The sequence below is a fragment of the Homo sapiens genome, chromosome 7 (assembly GCF_000001405.40).
Source record: "Homo sapiens chromosome 7, GRCh38.p14 Primary Assembly".
In the NCBI taxonomy this organism is placed as follows: Eukaryota; Metazoa; Chordata; class Mammalia; order Primates; family Hominidae; genus Homo; species Homo sapiens.
The window spans coordinates 78,427,027-78,444,951 of NC_000007.14; the positions used below are offsets into that span (position 1 = coordinate 78,427,027).

The 17,925-nt window shown below is 36.9% G+C and overlaps 1 protein-coding gene and 1 long non-coding RNA gene across 16 annotated transcripts in view; both read right to left on the minus strand.

Moving 5' to 3' along the window:
- Positions 1-17,739, minus strand: part of LOC124901683 (uncharacterized) — a 35,204-nt gene extending 17,465 nt beyond the window's left edge. The window contains exon 1 of the long non-coding RNA XR_007060399.1: positions 4,748-17,739. This is a non-coding gene — a long non-coding RNA (uncharacterized LOC124901683). The remainder of the gene's footprint in view (positions 1-4,747) is intronic.
- The window catches only part of MAGI2 (membrane associated guanylate kinase, WW and PDZ domain containing 2), a 1,436,613-nt gene that overhangs the window by 409,972 nt on the left and 1,008,716 nt on the right, over positions 1-17,925 (minus strand). The gene's annotated exons all lie outside the window — the stretch shown is intronic.

The window sequence follows — 17,925 nt, forward strand, 5'->3', positions numbered from 1 at the left end:
AAATAATATAACATTAACTCTAAAGTGTGGCAAGTTAAGGAAGTATATTGTAATCTTTAGAGTAACCACTAAAAACAAATGACAAAAGCCATAGCTAAAAATTCAATTAGAAGAGGAATTCAAATTCAAGAGAGCAGAAATAGAGGAAAAAAGAAATAAAAAACTAATGGGGCAAATAGGAAGAATAACAAAATAAGAGATCTAATTCCAACCACATCAGTAATTATATTAAATGAAAATGGACTAAATATTTTAATTAAAAACCCAATATTACCAGGCTGGATAAAAAAAGGCAATCCAATTATATGCTGAGTATAAGAAGCACACTTTAAATGTAAAGACAAAGAAAAAGTGAAAGTAAAAGGATAGAAAAAGACAAGTCATGCATACAGCAAAAGAAAGCCATACTGATACGAGGCAAACTAGACTTTAAGACAAGAAGTGCTACTAGAGATAATGAGGAATATTTCATGATGATGAAAAGCTGAATTCATCACAATTATGCATTTGTATATGCCTTATATCATGACTGCATGACCCAAAATGAACAGAATCAGTCAAAAATAGACAAATGTATAATCATAGTGAAAGATTTTAATACCACTCTTTCAGTAACTGAGAGAACAAAAAGACAAAAAAAAAAAAAAACAGCCAGAATATGAATTTGAACAACATTAAATGAAAGGAAGCTTACATTTATTCTATTCTATTAAAATTTAATTTATATAAACTTCCAAATTATATCCTATTTCCAATCTCTCTGTATTGGCTGTATAATCATATCTACAATGTTTTTACACAACTTTTGATTAATGAGTACTGTATTTTGTGTCTGTCAGTGGTTCAAGACTCCTGAAAAAGAATTATAAATTGGGCTGGTCTAGGCCAAAAGACAACCATGTAGTAGGAAAAATCTGTCTCCACCCCATGGGAATTTTTCATCCTATGCCATCTCCTGTGAACTTCCAGCCACAATCCAAACGCATAAATGAGAAGTTCTCAGAGACCCCCTTTTATTCCCAGAAAACAGGAACGCATCGTAACAGAGTCTTCTGTAATTATATTTAATGATTATTTAGTTGCTATTTAACAAAACATTAAATCTAATAATGGGTACTTCAGGCGAGGACAGAAAAGAGGACAAGTTTATGGAAAGCCAGTGAAGTTGATATTGCTATGGAGGAATTGGGAAAAGGGTAAGAGATAGTAGAAGAAGGTGGGAGCAGGTTCTGGTACTCTCCTTAAAGTATATATGCTTCTTTATAAATACAAAGTCATTATTTGAAAACACACTTTTAAAAAGGAATAAATGCAGATAACATATAAAATTTGTTAAATGCAAATGTTTATCTTGAAAATAAGAATCCTTGCTTATCCTTGTTCCAGTGATGAATTGACCTTATTATTAGCTATCTTCTTAGGATAATTTTAGTGTCTTGGAGCTAGAAAGTGAAGATAAAAATATTTAAAAATTGACATGTAATTTCCTTCACAAACTGGCCTTTTCACGGTTTGTCAAAAAGTATATTTAAAAAATTCATGCTAGAGTCCTCCACATCCAGGTCCTCATCCCGGAATACCTGCAAACACATGCAGCCCATTTAAGGCTGGTGCCTTTACTTGCTAACTGCCTGCCGTGCCCAAGCACTGAGACCCCATAAAAAGCCTGACTTGGCCTCTCACCTTCCATTGGAATTACCTCTGGTTTCTAGCTTATTAGTTTCACACGTATATTTCTCTTCCCTCCATAGGCTCAATTGTAGGACAAACACTCACCAATGCTATAGGTCGCTGCCTATCAGACTGCCAAGCTATTTTCCAAGGGACAAGTGATTCAAGCTTCAGAGACACAGTAGCTTAGTTCAGCTTGTGGACCTCCACATTTCTGGGACAGGGTAGCATGCTCCTGTATACACATTTACCATATAGCGTAATGGCAGATATAATGCTGTGTTACTAACAAAAAGTTAGTGACTAAAGTACAGAAGCATTAAGGTAGCACTTCAAAGCACAATTATTATCATAAGGTATCTAGAGACTGTCTTCCAAATAAAAGACGTGAACTTTATTATTGGTTTCTATAATGAGTACAGGAGGGAGGCCATTCTGTTTCAAAACATAAAGTGGGAAAAGGTACTTCAAAAACCACAAGTGGCTGCAAAACTGTTTATATTAATAAATCGCCACATTGGTTTTTGTAACTGACCCAAACATCATCAGAACTCCCATCCCCTCCTCATTGTTTTCTCTGGTCTTTGGTGCTATGCTTGACAGATTTTTCTTTTCTCCTTTTCTGATATACACCTTTAGGCAATTCCAAGCATTTGTGAGATGGCCTCCTGGGGTCAGAGGTAGGCTGAGGAGGGCTTACAGGCAGCGGTTTCAGAAGAGGGTAGGGGAGGTAGAATTTCTCCACTGAAAACTCCCGTGGAAAAAAATGGATTTCGTTCTTTGTTTCATTTTTTCCTATGAGAAGCTAATAGACTGATAAAGGGATTAAACCCACAGCCTTGGCCTCATTCACACCACACAATTTAAAAAGATAGAATAAATATGTACCTTTTTTCTCTAACTGCTGCTATACTACTATTTTCTTAGTAATTTAAATGCCATTATTCAAGACGTTTTTTCGAAAGGCACAAAAAAGAAGGCTTTTTCTTTTTAAAAATGGTGACTATACCTAATAATACTTAATAATAATATAAAGAAAATATAATTTTATTTAGAAATAAGCAACTAGCTTTGTATAGCACTTGCTATATGCCAGTATGTTTGTGTTTTACTCATATTTATTTTGACCTCATGAGTACCCAAAGATATAGGTATTATAAGTATTCCCATTTTTATAGATCAAGAAATCGAGGTATTGAGAGGTTAAGTAATTTGCCCAAGGCCACATGTCTAGTATAGTGATGGAGTTGGGATCTGAATCAGGCATTTTGGATCCAGAATCCCTTTTCCTAACCACTGTGCTACATTGCCCTTCTTCATTCATGCTCCAGAGTGGCATTTCCCACACTTTAATGTGTGTATGAATCATTTGGCTATCTTGTTAAAATGCAAATGCAGATTCCAATTCCATATTCAGCATTCTGGGGTGAGGCCTGAGATTCTGCATTTTTAACAAGTTCTCAGGTGATTCTGGTCTTTAAGCTACAATTTGAGAAAAATATTACAATGCTCTAACTGTATTACTGTCTGTTCTGGAAAAGCCTTTTTTTTTTTTTTTTTTTTTTTTTAATAAGAGGGGCTAGGATTGATGAGAGAAGAAATACTTAGGAATTAAAAGCCTGCATGTAAATATGCATATATATTCTACAGCTAAAAAATTCTACAGAGGGTGGATTTTATTTTAAGTAGGCTTAATACAATCATAAATTACCTTAGATGTCTGAGTGCAGTTCTAATTTAAAAAGTTAAGTAGTATTCCAGGAAACTTATTAAAAATAGAGAAAAAACACCCCTCTATTTCTGAATATACTTAGTTTTTGAGTTTTAATTATAAACCATTTCTTCTGATAATGAAATCAGAAGTTCATTACTTTCTCTCATATTTGATGAAAGTAATAGTATCCAACACCTTTTAAACAGTTGTTATAGGAGGAAATCCCACAGATAAGGCTGGAAGTGGACAAAAGGGAAACTTGGTAACTTTCTGAGCTGGAAGGGACATGCCCCAAAAGTGTAGTAATTTGTCTATTTCCTGAGATTCCCCCTAAGCAACCACTAGTCCTTTACGTCTTGAAATCTTTAGGCCTTCGAGTTTGCTGTGAAAATACAAATAATGTGTTTACAGTTAACACCGCAAAGGGATGGCTTTCCAACCAGGATCCCTAGTTGACTCAATTCTCTAAGTCCAACAGGAGGGGTTACTAGTGAAAGCCAGAAATTCCTGAGAGAAAGTTCCATCAAGTTCAATGTGTCAGACTTACAATTTTGCACAGGTTTGCCTGAGCATATATTATTTAATTCATTTCCCAGAGACAGGTATTATAGACTTATAGCTTCTCTATGAGCTGAATTGCCTGTTGGAATCAGTGAGGTAGGCTGTGTGTGTGTGTGTGTGTGTGTGTGTGTGTTTTAAGCAAAAGAAAACACCTACTTGGTTTTTGAATACCTTTATTACATTCCCTGCTGATTCAGTGAACTTTTGATTAGCCTCCATGATTACTAACTTCATTTAGGAAAATATGTATGTGAGTGAAGGTTCAGTAATTATTTGAGACACTTGCAGATAGGAGGACTTTCAAAGACTGACTAAAGGTGTGAAGGCAGATCACAGTTTGTCCATTTTCTTTTGACTTTCTTTCGAGCTAATACCTGCTATTTAGGGAGAGGAAGCAAAGCAGTGGTTGGTAACTCACTTTTAAAATTCAATATGATTATCCTATGGAAGCAGACTGTACTTTCTCAAAGGCTAAAGGAAAGCAGTTCTGACTATTTCTTGGGTATTTTATTGGCTTTGCAAATCACATTAGCAGTTTTACATGTAGGTATTTAATCAGAAGCTTATTCCAAAAGTATTTATGCAACTGGTCAGTCAAAAGCAAGAGAAACATAGTCTTGGAAGAAAAAGAAAATGCAGATGGTAAATGGCAAAGTTGATCCCAGAATCTATGGCAACTACCAACGCCATGACCCAGAGACTTTCAGCATGTAGCTTGCATTTTGTTGTGACCTGAAACATTATGTATCTTAAAGTATGTTCTCATAGCTTAAAGCTGATGGGTTGAGTGCATATACTCACTTAAGTTCTTAAGCAGACTAGCAGTGTTTTTTTTCAAGGTGTCTCGTAAATAATACTAGGAGGAGAAAATAGACATAAGTAAAAGTTGAAATCCATAAGAAAATTACCAAAGATTCCATGAAATAGAGTTTTGGCATCATGTAGATAAAATTTTTAGATAGTTAAGTGAACTTTCATATTTCCCACAGACTGTAGCCAATTTTCAAGACCATCAAATAAAAATTATACCAAATCTTAAGCGTTCAAATACTTAATTTAAAGAAAAGCATAAGTGAAATAAAATTGATTTTTAAAAATCAGGTAATTTCTTCATACAACACATGAGGCAGTAGGTTTAAATATTAAATTATTAATTTTTTTTATCTGACAGCAAATTTGGTTGAGCCTAGCTAAACATTCTGTACATTAGAACACATAATCCAGTGCAGGCCTTACAAAAAAAAAAAAGGCAAAACTAGCTTTTCTTTTTGCCAAAAACAATTTATACTTGGCCTCACAAAAATAGAAGCATAATTTTGAAATTAATTGATGTTATTAACTCCTCTGATATTTAGATTGAAATAATTGTAAGGCTGTACAATTAAAACATTTTTCAGATTGTAGTTCTAACCGTGCTTAGACACGTAGTAAACAAATGCCCCACACATTTCACATCTAGTCAGTGAAACCCAGGTTTTGTCATGATTAAGATTCTCAAGAAAATAAGCTACGTGTGATTTTTTCAAATGTCCTAAAACGTGTCTTTCTTCGTTGTTGATTTGTGTGATAATTATGCCTTGTTGACTTCTTTTGAACAGAACATATTAGTATTTTGTATCTAATTAATAGATTTAATAATCAATCACCTCTGGTACAACTACTGAGAATTCCTCAAATGATAAACAGAGTTAATGTCTAAATAGAAACAATCTACCAGATTTATTCCAATTGTTTCTTGTATAGTTTATCGACCTCCTATGAATATTTACTGTATTGTGCCATATAGTTTAAAAATTATACAAAGAAATGGACTGAAAATGTAGCTCATATTAAAAAAAAGAATAACCTACTTAATATGCATATATAAAGCACTCATTTTCATTATTAATGCTACTAGCCAGGGGGTAAAGTATAAACACAATGTGACAAATATCTAATATCAGATAATGGTAAAATCTTACTTTAGTGAGAAACTTTAATATGTCCCCTAAGAGTTCACTAACTAATTATGTATAAAATAACCTGGGTTGGTGTTTTATTTGCTTGCAATTCCCATGTTCACTCTTTAGAGTAGTTGCTTATAAACAGCACGAAAGTCCAAAGATAGAAGGTGGTCAAAATAAGAATTGCCATTATAAAGTCCAAAGTTTTTCTCTCTCACAAGACATTGAATAATCAATGTTTTCCCTTACCATTAAAATTACACATCTGAGAGGTATCTATTTCCTTCTTTTCTCTTAATAACCCAATTACAGCTTAACTACCTAAGTAGTTTTAATGGATACATTTAGCATTGGACAGCTTTGGGGGAAATGAGTGGCTATTAAGTGTGTTTACTACTCCTTATTTGTATAAAATATACCTTTCAAGCATTTAAGGACACCCTCTAATTGTTGTATTGCAGGATTTGGTGATTCAGTCATTGTTCATCTTATCTATATTCTTCTTGGTTTCATAGGTTTGAATTTGTTTCCTCTCAGCCTGCAAACTTTAGGACCAATCTTTCTATCGAAAAATCTTCCTATTTCTTTGTAATTTTAAATATTTCCTCCCCCGAATTTTCTCCATTTACATTCAGTGTAGTAAAGGATGTCCCAATCAGAACAGCATAAAGTGGTTTGTCTGAGTGACAGCATCTGGTGGTTTTGCAGGAAAGAGTGTTTTCTGTTTTATTTTCAAATCTTCTGGATGACATCAGCATTCATGAGTTCTCTCAGTTGCAGACACATCTGGCTTAAGAGCCAGTAGTGTAAGGTACAGAAAAGTACAAAATATTATTTAAGGGGAGAGAAAAAATTTTATTCTGATTCTCTTTTCACCAGTTTTAGAGCCAGAATACGATTTAGAGTCTATGCACATATAGTCCAACAATATAAAATGTGAGGATATTTTACATTTTAGGGTTCCAGAGGGCCAAATATGATACAAATATAATCCTTAGCTAATCATTGAATGAATGATTGAATGAAGCATTGTACCACAGTCTCGTCTAGCCAAATACTATGGTCAAGTGATTACTATGCCATAGGAGGAAAATATGTATTGATAAAAATATCCCTCCATATTCTCTCTTTGCTTTTTGCTTCAGTTGTTTCCACATGCTCTCTTTTTTTCAGATATAGATTCTTAGATTAGATGATGCCAAGATCAAAGCCTAAGTACTTAGCTCTTTAATGCTTGAGCAGATTTGGCTGAATCCAGGCAGATATTCTGTGCATTGGTAGAAACAGTACTAGATCAGAAACACGGTATAGATCATCTCAATTAAACAAATTACAATGATTGTATAGAGAGGAGAACCTGGAAAATTGAATGAAAAGGTCTTTATGGAGGAAAAATAGAACCATATACTCAAATTTAATTGTTACACAGAAGCCTTCAAGGGCATCAGGAAGTCAGCGTATATGTCTAGCTTTTGGAGAAGAGATGACAGCCTGCTGGGATAACTTGCAACAGATAAAGAGATGGATGGAAACAGGGTAGGGGTTCACTGGCTTGGGCAGCTCCCCCTGGTGAGGGAAAAAGAAACACTTCAATTCCTCCCTCTTCTTCATAGGTGAAGGAACATTTCTCTAGTTTCTTATGGAAAGGGAATAAAAGGGGAGAGAAGGACAAACAGGGATGACTCTACTTTACTCCATCTCCTATATTATCCTTTTACCCTCACATAAAATGAGACAGTAGAATTTAGAGTAGGGCAATGAATAGGTTATTTTAGAACAGCATCAAGAAAGATAGTGGGATATAAAGGGTAAAACTGAAAATATTGGAGATATAGAAAAATTGGGGAAATGAATGGAAGTACAGATATATCAACTCTTGCAGAAGGAAAAATAAAGGTAAGGAAAACAAGAAAATAATCTTTGAAGCAAAATGAAAATGCAAGGCTGAAGTCTGACTGAAAATCCACTCCATCCTATGAGGGAGTTGCTGGCTGGCTGGCTGGCCATTCTATCACTCATTCCCTTAGGGCCCGCTGCCTCCTATCCCTCTGCATGGACCAGACAAAGACCTAAACTCAATCCCTAAATGCCTCACAAGTTTAAGAGCTTGGATTCTGGAGTCTGCCTTGGGTTTTCATCCCAGGTCTGCCACTTTGCCACCTGTGTCATCTTGGACAATTGATTTAACCTTTCTGTGCTTGAGAATCCTGATCTATAAATGGGGGTAATCTAAAGCACTTAGCGCCTAGGGACAATTGGGAGAATTAAAAAGAGAGAATGTGTTAAGAAGGCCTAGCATAGTTTCTGGCTTATAATAAATGTTCACTAAATGCCAGTTAGTATTATTATGCTCTTCATTGAACAGATATACTTTAAGAAGAGTTGCTCTCCCCCACACCTTGAAATTAGTGGCATAGACACTTGGTCAGAAATTCAAGTTGTTAACCTCACTCTTCACGTCTGTGAAGGACACTGCCTTCCTTTACAGAGGACCAATGGATTTCAGCTGTGCCTGCTTCTCACCAGTGGACAGCTCTCTGCCAGTTTCCCCAAGATTTCCTTTTAGTCATCTCCAGCTGAGCCTACCCTGGTACATTCTGTGCTACTTTTACAACTCCATAAGCCAAGAAAACAAAACACACACAAGTGGGCTCACAAGCTGAGAACTGCAAGCAGAAGTGATTGGAACCCACATGCCTGCAGGCACCAAAGCTGCAAATACCACCTTGTTCTAAAGTTGTGCCCGAGGTCACAGAGAATCCCGAGAAAGGCTCCTGTTTCAGCCATAAATCTCCCAGCACTCACATTCATCCCCGGACACATTAGGTACATTTGCCTCAACCAGCAGATTGAAAATCTGGAGCCCAGAAAACAAACAGTTCCTTGCTAAAGGCAAAATAAACAGATTTCTATTGGAAAGGGGAATTTTTCCAGAGTTTTTCTGCTATCCCTTGCCTAAAAACACATCCAAGTTGGTAGGTACTACAGACAGATGAAAATGTACTTTCCTCAAGGGTTTTGCACATTCTCAAAGCAGAGGACAAGGTCAAATGGGAAACAGGGAAATGCCATTTTGAACAAGGTCCTTCACACAAGTAGATATCTGGAGATTTTTCAGGGAAAGATCCGGGGTGAGTGCATCAGTTTCACACCCTGGAGGTTTCTTATTTTTGAAAAAGGTACAGGTAAAGAAGTTGGCCTATAATCATGTTTATGTTTATACAGAGGGTCAAACTGGTCAAGGGGCTGCATTTGCTTAATAGGCCCACTTAGGGTTGGAGAGGAAGGCCCTGCTTTAGAAATGAGCCCTTTTTTTGTAGGTTCCTGCCAGTGAGACAATAGTAACCCAATTAAACAATTCCCGAGAAAGCCAGGAGCAATGAAGTGAAAACCAATGAGGTGAAAGCCACTTGGATCATTCAGGGTGAGGCTGCCAAATCAGACATAGAGAGCCCTGAAGAGAAAACATTTTAATGAGGAGAAAGTCCTTGCAACAGACCTCTGTCCTCAACTTTCAATTCTACCTGGAACCATTATTAGACAAGTGGTCTGAGAAGTTTATGCATTTGAAGAGGGTGAGGCTCCTCACCTGGGAACTCAAACCAAACTTTCATGCTCATTGCTAAGAACAAATAAATTTTAAAAACCCAAACAAACAAAAACCTAGAAAAGTTTCCTGCCTATCCCACTTTACATGATTTCATCATTAGCTTTCACTAGTTGATTTTTCCTGGTTGATCCCATCTGGCAGCACAGGTTGCTGATTATAATTGCCCTCTCATACTTCTCCACTCACGGACCCTCTCTATATGCAACACCTCTGTGTGAGCCTAAGACATTCCCCTGATACATCACAACTCATAGCTCCCAGCCGCATCCCCAAGCTGGCCTGTCCTCAGAAGCCAACAGATGACTTTCAAAGCCCAGATCCAAATAGTCTGTTCTGAGATATGCATGGGGCCTGGGTAGTTAGGCTGGTCCACTGCAGGGGGATGGAAATGGCATTTAGGAACCAACTATGATTGTGGGGTGGCAGGGGCATGCAAAGATGCCAGCAGTACTCTCTAAGGCTGATCTATACCAAACGCAGAGTAGAGTCAGAGTGATGACACAGGATTACTTGAGAAAGGTTCAGACTGAGGTGTGGGAGCCTGGAGGATGCAGGAAAATTCCCTATCATAATGGAAATCATACTTCTGGCTCCTGTTAGCGACAGAAATGCTATTGCTCTGTGGCAGTGAGAACATTCTCGTGGTGCTCATGGTGTGTCAGGCAATCCACGAAGCATCATGGCTGCCATTCACAGCTTTGTCTCAGTTGCGTCTGTACCACCTCAAGAGACAGGGCAGCTCACACGTGAGCAGGAGCTCCTTTCAATAGACAAGGTCTTGTTCTTTCTACTTTCTACTAAATGACTCATAAAAGCATTTTGGAATTGGGGGAAGAAGTCATGCAAAAAGAATTTGTACTTTGCAACACTTTCTTCACTGAGGGCATAACAGATTCTAAATAGAAAGCAGTGGTACAAAGCAGGGCAAAGTCTGCTTACCAGAAAAGACTCAGTTTGAAAATAAAATTTTGCTTCCACTCACATGCAGGAAATGGGCCTTGGTATTTCATTCACCTTTTCATTCAGCCTCTGTGCCCTCATCTTGACAGCAGATGGGAGTCAAGGGTATATGAAGAGGTAATACCAGCACCAGAGCAGCAACAATGGAGCCAATTGCATTAGGGTAAACTGTCCTATAAGACGTGACTAGAGCCCTAGGAATAAATTTCAAGAAGATAACATGACATGACCACTGAGTGTTCTCTTAGCATTTGTTTTACATTCACAAGTGACATACCATGGTCCACAGCAGTTAACTGTGAAGTTAAGAAAGGGGCACTTATGAAAGTTTATAATTTAATATATAGGTAGAAAATAATTTTCCAAATATAACCTTTAGAATATAAATATAAGCTTCATTTACCCTTATCATTGACTGCACCTAATGAAAATTCTTCCCCATAATTCCTGAGAAGTTTCAGAATGTCAAATGAAGTAATAAAATGCCAAAAATCACTCAGGAGCAATATCAAAACCAACAGTTTGTTATTAGTTGTTGTTTATGTCACATGTAATGATACTTTGTTCCCTTCATCCTTGGTGGCAGTGTACACATGGTGCTATCAGACACAAGGTAAGGAATCAACTGGTGAGAATAAAGCAAACAGATAACCACTGAAACGTTTTTGAGACTCTGATGTGTAATATTATCTTCTGTATTCTGATAAACTCTATACTATCAAACTTCTCCACTCACAGACTTTTCCTAAAAGCTTAGTCATATAAAAGTGAACCCATGTCATAAGTACAAAAAAAAAAAATCCTGAGCCCATTAGGTTCCTTGAGATATGAATTTTTTAAAAGCTTAAGATGTGAATTCACTTGTATTGGTGACAAGTTTGTGTGTTTAGGCACTCTACATCATCTCCCAAATCAGCCTCTAGAACTTTAATATATGAATCTGGTACGAGTTCCCTGGCTAAGTCACAATGTCTGCAAGGACATTTCACCAAAACACTTCACCAGAATATAGGCAGAAACCAGCTCTGACCTTCAGCATGTGTGTGCTGCGGTTCCTTTATGAGCGTGCTGTTTTACGGTGGAGATGCTAGAAGCGGGGCCAAAGTCATGAAAAATCCGTTGCTGTCCTCTCAGTGATTCTGTACTCACTCCAAACCTGGGTTTTGTCTTTAATTTCTCTTTAACGAACCACAGCCAAGGAGCAGCTGGTACTGTTTACTCACTTGCTGCACCTGTAGTTCTGCTTTGCAAGGCACAGAAATGGATTTTCTCCACAAAACATGAATTTCTAAAGCCTGGATTTTGCCCCATCTTTTCATGGGCGCACAATACATCAAGAGCAGGAAATGGGAAAATGGCATAATTAACGGGCTGTTAAGACGCTTCTATTTTGCTTGCCTTTAAAATTAATCTCTTCCTGCTCACTACTCAGTGATGAAAACATCTTCCTCCGAAGATGAATTAGCTGGAATTAACTGCAAGTGCATCAAGACATCTAAGGTTTATAACGTAACTACCTTGAACTACCTGTTCCTGGTGAACCTGAAGAGTAGCTGGAAGCCCATACTGCCCTCTGGATTACCCAGTTTATGTCAAAAATGATTTCTGAGTCTGCCATTCCAAACACCCACATGCAAATGGAAGCAGTTTGACCATTAGCACTGAGTTAAAGAACAGTGTTTGTGGAATTTTCAGTTCCTTGGATGTGCCTTCATAATTTCGGAAGCTGAAGCTTGAATGTTGCCCGAGTCAGTCACTGTTTCAACAATCATTTATTGAGCACTCAGGTTCTTTGATTCTGAGGTCTGTGGAAACAGAAATGCTCCTGGTTTTCAAGGAACTTACAGTCAAGCTATGAGGACAAAAGATGGTGCCCAGAGTAATTACAGTGCCTAACTGTGTAAATAGTAATTTTATGTACAGCAGGATTTGAGGGATAAGATAAACGTGACAAAATAGTTGGAAAAGCCTTAATGTAAGAAGTGGGGCAGGCCTTTGTATGACAGCATTTGGAGAGGTGCAGAGTAAGATGTGGGACCTTTGAGGAGGGGGCACAGCAAGAGTGAAGTCATGGAGGGCCCCACAGCACACCACACATCACCAGGCAATACTAGTAAGCAAATATTTACTTATTGAGGTGAGCTAAAATTAAAGCATACTTTATGGCTAGATCCTTGGTTTTTGGCTTCTGAAATGTAATCTCTAATTCTGCCTATTTTAGAACTCTATTTCTCACTGCTTATTAAGATATTTTCACCCGAATTGCTTACATACCCTAACCTCACTGTGAGCAGGATAAATGTATCATCTTTTCTTTCTAAGCACCTTCTTGAGGTTTTCTTTCATTGGTTTTGACAATAGTATTCTCCAGTGTCATAATCTCTGTGGCTGCTTGGTCCAGTAATGGGAGCCACCAGCCACATGTGCCTAGTGAGCACTTAAAACGTGTCTAGTGCCACAAGAGAATATTTTGGCTATATTGGACTAAATAAATATTATTAATTTAACGTATTTTTATTTTTTTACTAGAAAATTTAAAGTTATATACACATATATATATAATGGCTCCCATTATATTTAAAGTCACATTTAAATATAAATATATTTATATTTAAAGTTACATTTAAATGTAATGACTCCCATTATATTTCTATCAGACAGCCCTGCCATAGATTCTGACTATCTGGATTCATACCTCGATAAAGCTAAGGCTTGATCATGTAATTTTTCTTCTTCCTCCTATAATTCAGGCATGCATTCATTTATTCATTTAAGGTAGGTGCTTTCATTTTCCACATTTTACAAACAAGGAAACTGAAGTGAATAGAGGTCATATGGCTGATGAAGTGTGCTGTAGAATTTGAACTCGGGCAATCTGACATACACCCACATGTTACACTGTAGTAATTCCTATGAGAAACCATGAGGGTCTGGGCTAAATGAAAGGTGGTGGGTTGGAAAAGAAAGGATGAACTGAAGAGACACCGTGAAGGCAAAATTAACACATCCCATTGGCCAGTTTGCTATATGGAATAAGGACAAAGAAAACAGACCTGATGCCTAGCTTCTTGGCTAGGAAACAGGTATCAACAAACAAATACATAAAAACACATAGAAAACATATAAAAGTATATGTAGGGGGAGAAAGATGAATTTGACAGTCAAGTTTAAAGTACCTGAGAGAGGATGGGCGTGGTGGCTCATACCAGTAATCCCAACACTTTGGGAGGCCAGGGAGGGTAGATCACTTGAGGTCAGGAGTTTGAGACCAGCCTGGCCAACATAGTGAAACCCCGCCTCTACTAAAAGACACAAAAATTAGCCAGGCGTGGTAGTGGGTGCCTGTAGTCCCAGCCACTCGGGAGGCTGAGGTGGGAGAATTGCTTGAATCTCCGAGTTTGGGGCTACAGTGAGCTGAGATCGCACCACTGCACTCCCACCTGGCAACAGAGTGAGACTCCATCTCAAAAAATAAATAAAATAAATACCCGAGAGAAGTCCAAGCGGAAATGTCCAGTAGGCAGCTGGATACATGGATGTGGGACTTGAGGGAGATATTTAGGTTGGATATATCAATTCTTACTTGTTAGTCCTCCTCCCCTTTGTAATTTTGAATTATAATTCATGGTGTAATGAAACATAGTTCCTGACTTGAACATTCAAGATCCTGCACAATTTGGTCTCAAGCTGCCTTCTAAGTTTTCTACTTGTTTGCTTAACATACACTTTGCTCCACCAAATTGGATTACATACATAACCTTGATATTAGTTGCATTCTCTATACACTTGAAGATTGAGGTAAAAGGGATCTGACCTACCATGCCACGAAATGTGGAATCTGTGGCTTTCTCTAAGATTTATAGAAATTTGTGGGGTAAAGCAGAGAAAAGGGTTACATTATCAGAATAACTTCAATTATTAAAAACTTTCAATTTCCACAGATACATAAAAAAGCTCTGCCAGCCATTAACAGATGGCAATAGCAATTACTTGTGTGGAGTCACTTTGGATTTATGCACAATTAGGGATTTTGGTTACCTAAGCTGTTTGTAACTAGAGGAGCATCTGTGATTAGTTTACAGCTCCACTTACCTTCCTGCTAATGTGGTCCCTCTATTACAATTAGTTAACCCAGTCATGGAATTCAGTTCTCTTTCTTAATTTTAAGGAAAAAAAAAAGAAAGAAAAAAACTACAAAACCCAAACAAAAACAAAACAAAAATACCATGACCAAAGCATCCCACCTACACAAGACATTTAGTAGAGGAAATGAAATACAGAGGTCTGGGGAGAAGGAAGTACTCCCACTACAGGAATGAAATAATTAACATTTCCGGTTAGATATACCTGTTGCAGACTGTCTCTCAGTTTTAGCTTTAGCCTCACATCTCTTTCATACTTTCTCTCTTCTTTTCCTCTCGTCCTCCTAGTGGCAAATCCCAAATCTCACATTTCCTTAACCAGAGTAATTCAGCTCTCTCCAGCTCCTAGCCCAGCTGCAGTTTCAGGGTCCCCTCTGCATACCTCTGCTCATCCAGAGCCCTAGGAAAATAAAAGGGATCCTCCTTCTTTAGAAGGCAACTATGACTATGAGCCTTTGCTACACAAACTCTTCTTCCAAAGTGTTTGCTTCTCCTCTGTTTCTTGCTCAATTAAATTCAAGGAAGCAGGACTCCATTTCACCTTCCCCATCTGAACATATTCTCCTCGACAGCCCTTACACTGCTATGGAGACCTCCATTCTTCTTTGTGTTAGAGTTATTGTGCATTTGTTTCACATACTTCCTATCTGATTGAAAATCATTTGATGATAGATTCTATGTGTCTTATACGAATCATCATCTTGGTACAAATTGGTTAAGCTGACCTCAAGTGTGTACACATGGAAAGAATAAACTACCCATATACACTTCTCTTATTTCATTTTGGGTAAACCTACAAGGTGATCCCTAGAATGACCTTCTTTGGAGATGAAAATGGTGAATCAATAATTCTGTAATCATATATCTGAAATCCTATCTAGGCTTGTTATGCCTCATAAGTGGATTTCAGATTTGCATGGGAAACAGATTGTGCTTTGCTGCTGCATTTACCCAGTGGATCTGCTAATAATTTAGGAAGTTTGGCAAATATGATGCAGTGTAACTTGTAATATTTATTTGCTCTCTCGGCTGTGATTTTAATCCCCTAAATAACAAGCTCAGACAACATATTATTGATACGCTTTGTGCTATTTATCAATATTTACTTAGATTTATTTTGGAAAAAATCCAAATGGGGGCTATTTAGCATAACTGAGCATTAAAACTATTTGATTTGGTATTCACTGTTTTTGAAAATACATATTAAACAAACAGAACAGTAATTGATGCAAACCTGTTTGCTCCTGTCTATAATACAAGATTAGAAAAGGCAGTTTCCTCATTCAGGAAAACACTAGTTAGTTAAAATACCATTTGTTTTCTTTCTTTTATTTGAAAGTACATTTTAAACAAGTCAAAGAGATACCAAGTGGCCTGTCAGTTAACTTGATACTAAAGAACAATACATGGTTTGTATCTTATTTCCAGTTATTGCACAGTAAGCATGTGGCCCTGTGCGTCCCTTCTTGTTGACAAATACTCTATCTAGACTTTGAAAACTACTAAGCAGAGCCATATTAATGAAACCATATTTCGTAGCTTAATCACTTGAGCTCTGTAAAATGTGTTTGGGTGGAACATTTTTGATTGTTTCAAAATCTCTGTGGGCTTATTATGACATAAAGAAATAGCACAAGGTAGTGATGATTTACATTTGGCAGTAATACACTGGGGAGTTGCACTGGAGAAGTGGGGTCCTATCTTGGACCTCACATAGTGGTAGCAAGCAGTGTTTGAAATTCGAAACCCTGCTTCTGAGTTAGACACACTTGGTCATCCTTTCTTCTCATCTACAAAGTAGCACAAGCACAGAGCCTAATATTTTCAGTTCATGATGCTATCCCCAGGCTTTAAAAATGTGCCTGAAACATAATAAGCCCTCTATAAACATTTTCTAAGTTGATAAAATCTAATTCACTCATTCCACTATTATTTTTTGATTATTCCTCTGTTATAACATGTAACTAATCCTGTATTATTAAAGCCATTTTTGTATTTTTCTCTTTTCTAGAGGAAAATCACTAGGTATCTTCTGACCTGTATACATCCATCATAAAAACCTCATGAAGACTTTTAAAACATCCGATAATTTTCTTCCCATCTATGTCTTTGACTAATCTGTACATCAGACTATGCAGTCAAGAATTATTTGAGTTAGTGTGAATTGACTCTGGAATACAGACATCAAAGATGTCTCAAAGTTAGACTCCTGGGCTTCAGTTTGACGAGAGGAAGAACATGACCTGTCATTCCTCTTTCTTTTCTTAGGAAGTAATATATATATAGAAGGAGTAGTTGTGGGAGGAGAATATTCTTCAGAGATTTTCTTTATGTTCTTATCACATGGAGGTGTTGTTTACTTGAGCGCCACTAGAGTGTAGACTCTCACATGTTTTTCTTAAGGCCATTTTGTGGGATGAAAAAAAATGGCCCACTTAGTATCGCAGCTCCTATCTACCTGGTGTATGTCACATTTCAACTCTCTGTTCAGGGTTGAGCTTTAGTCAGAACACTGAACGGGAACCTTCAGTAAACTGGGATAATGTACAAAGGTCAGTTTACAAATTTAGTAATCATAAACAACTCAGTTAGTTGGCTATATGTATATGGCTTTAAATCAAGGTGACACTCAGTATTAACCATCACAAATCATAAGTGAAAACTAAAACTTATGGAATAGAGAGCCACGCAGAACAGTGAAAAAAGACTTCCAATCTTAGATGCATTTTGGTCCATCAGTAGGTCCCTCACAATTCATTAATGGGCTTTAGGTCGAGTTTTAATACTCTCTGCTCTAAAGGTGAAAGAAACCCACACTCATACCCAGCAATCTTTTTCTGTTGCTCTGGCTGGGCAGAAAAAGAGGAAGAGACATGTGTTACTTAACTGCATTTCTCATGAAGAATAAATACTTCATTGGCCTAGGATTTAGATTCATCAAAAAACTGATTAGTATTATTGTATTGGAGAGCCAGCTGCTGCTTCAAATAAATGTTAAGTGAGGAATAAAAATTGTTTCATAATATGATCCTGATGTCATTTATTTTATATTAAGTGCTTATCTCTTGAAATTTTAACTTTTGAACTTTCTACTGTTCTGTTTTCCCGGCTCTCCCTCAATTTATATGTATGTGTTTGTGTATGTGTATATACTGTATATACACATATATATGTGTGTACATACAAATATGTACTTATATATTTATATAATGTATAAATGTAAATATATAAAAATATATAAATTTATATTTATATGTATACATATGTGTGTATATATACAAATATATATGTAAACTAATATATAAAAATAAGTATATATATGTA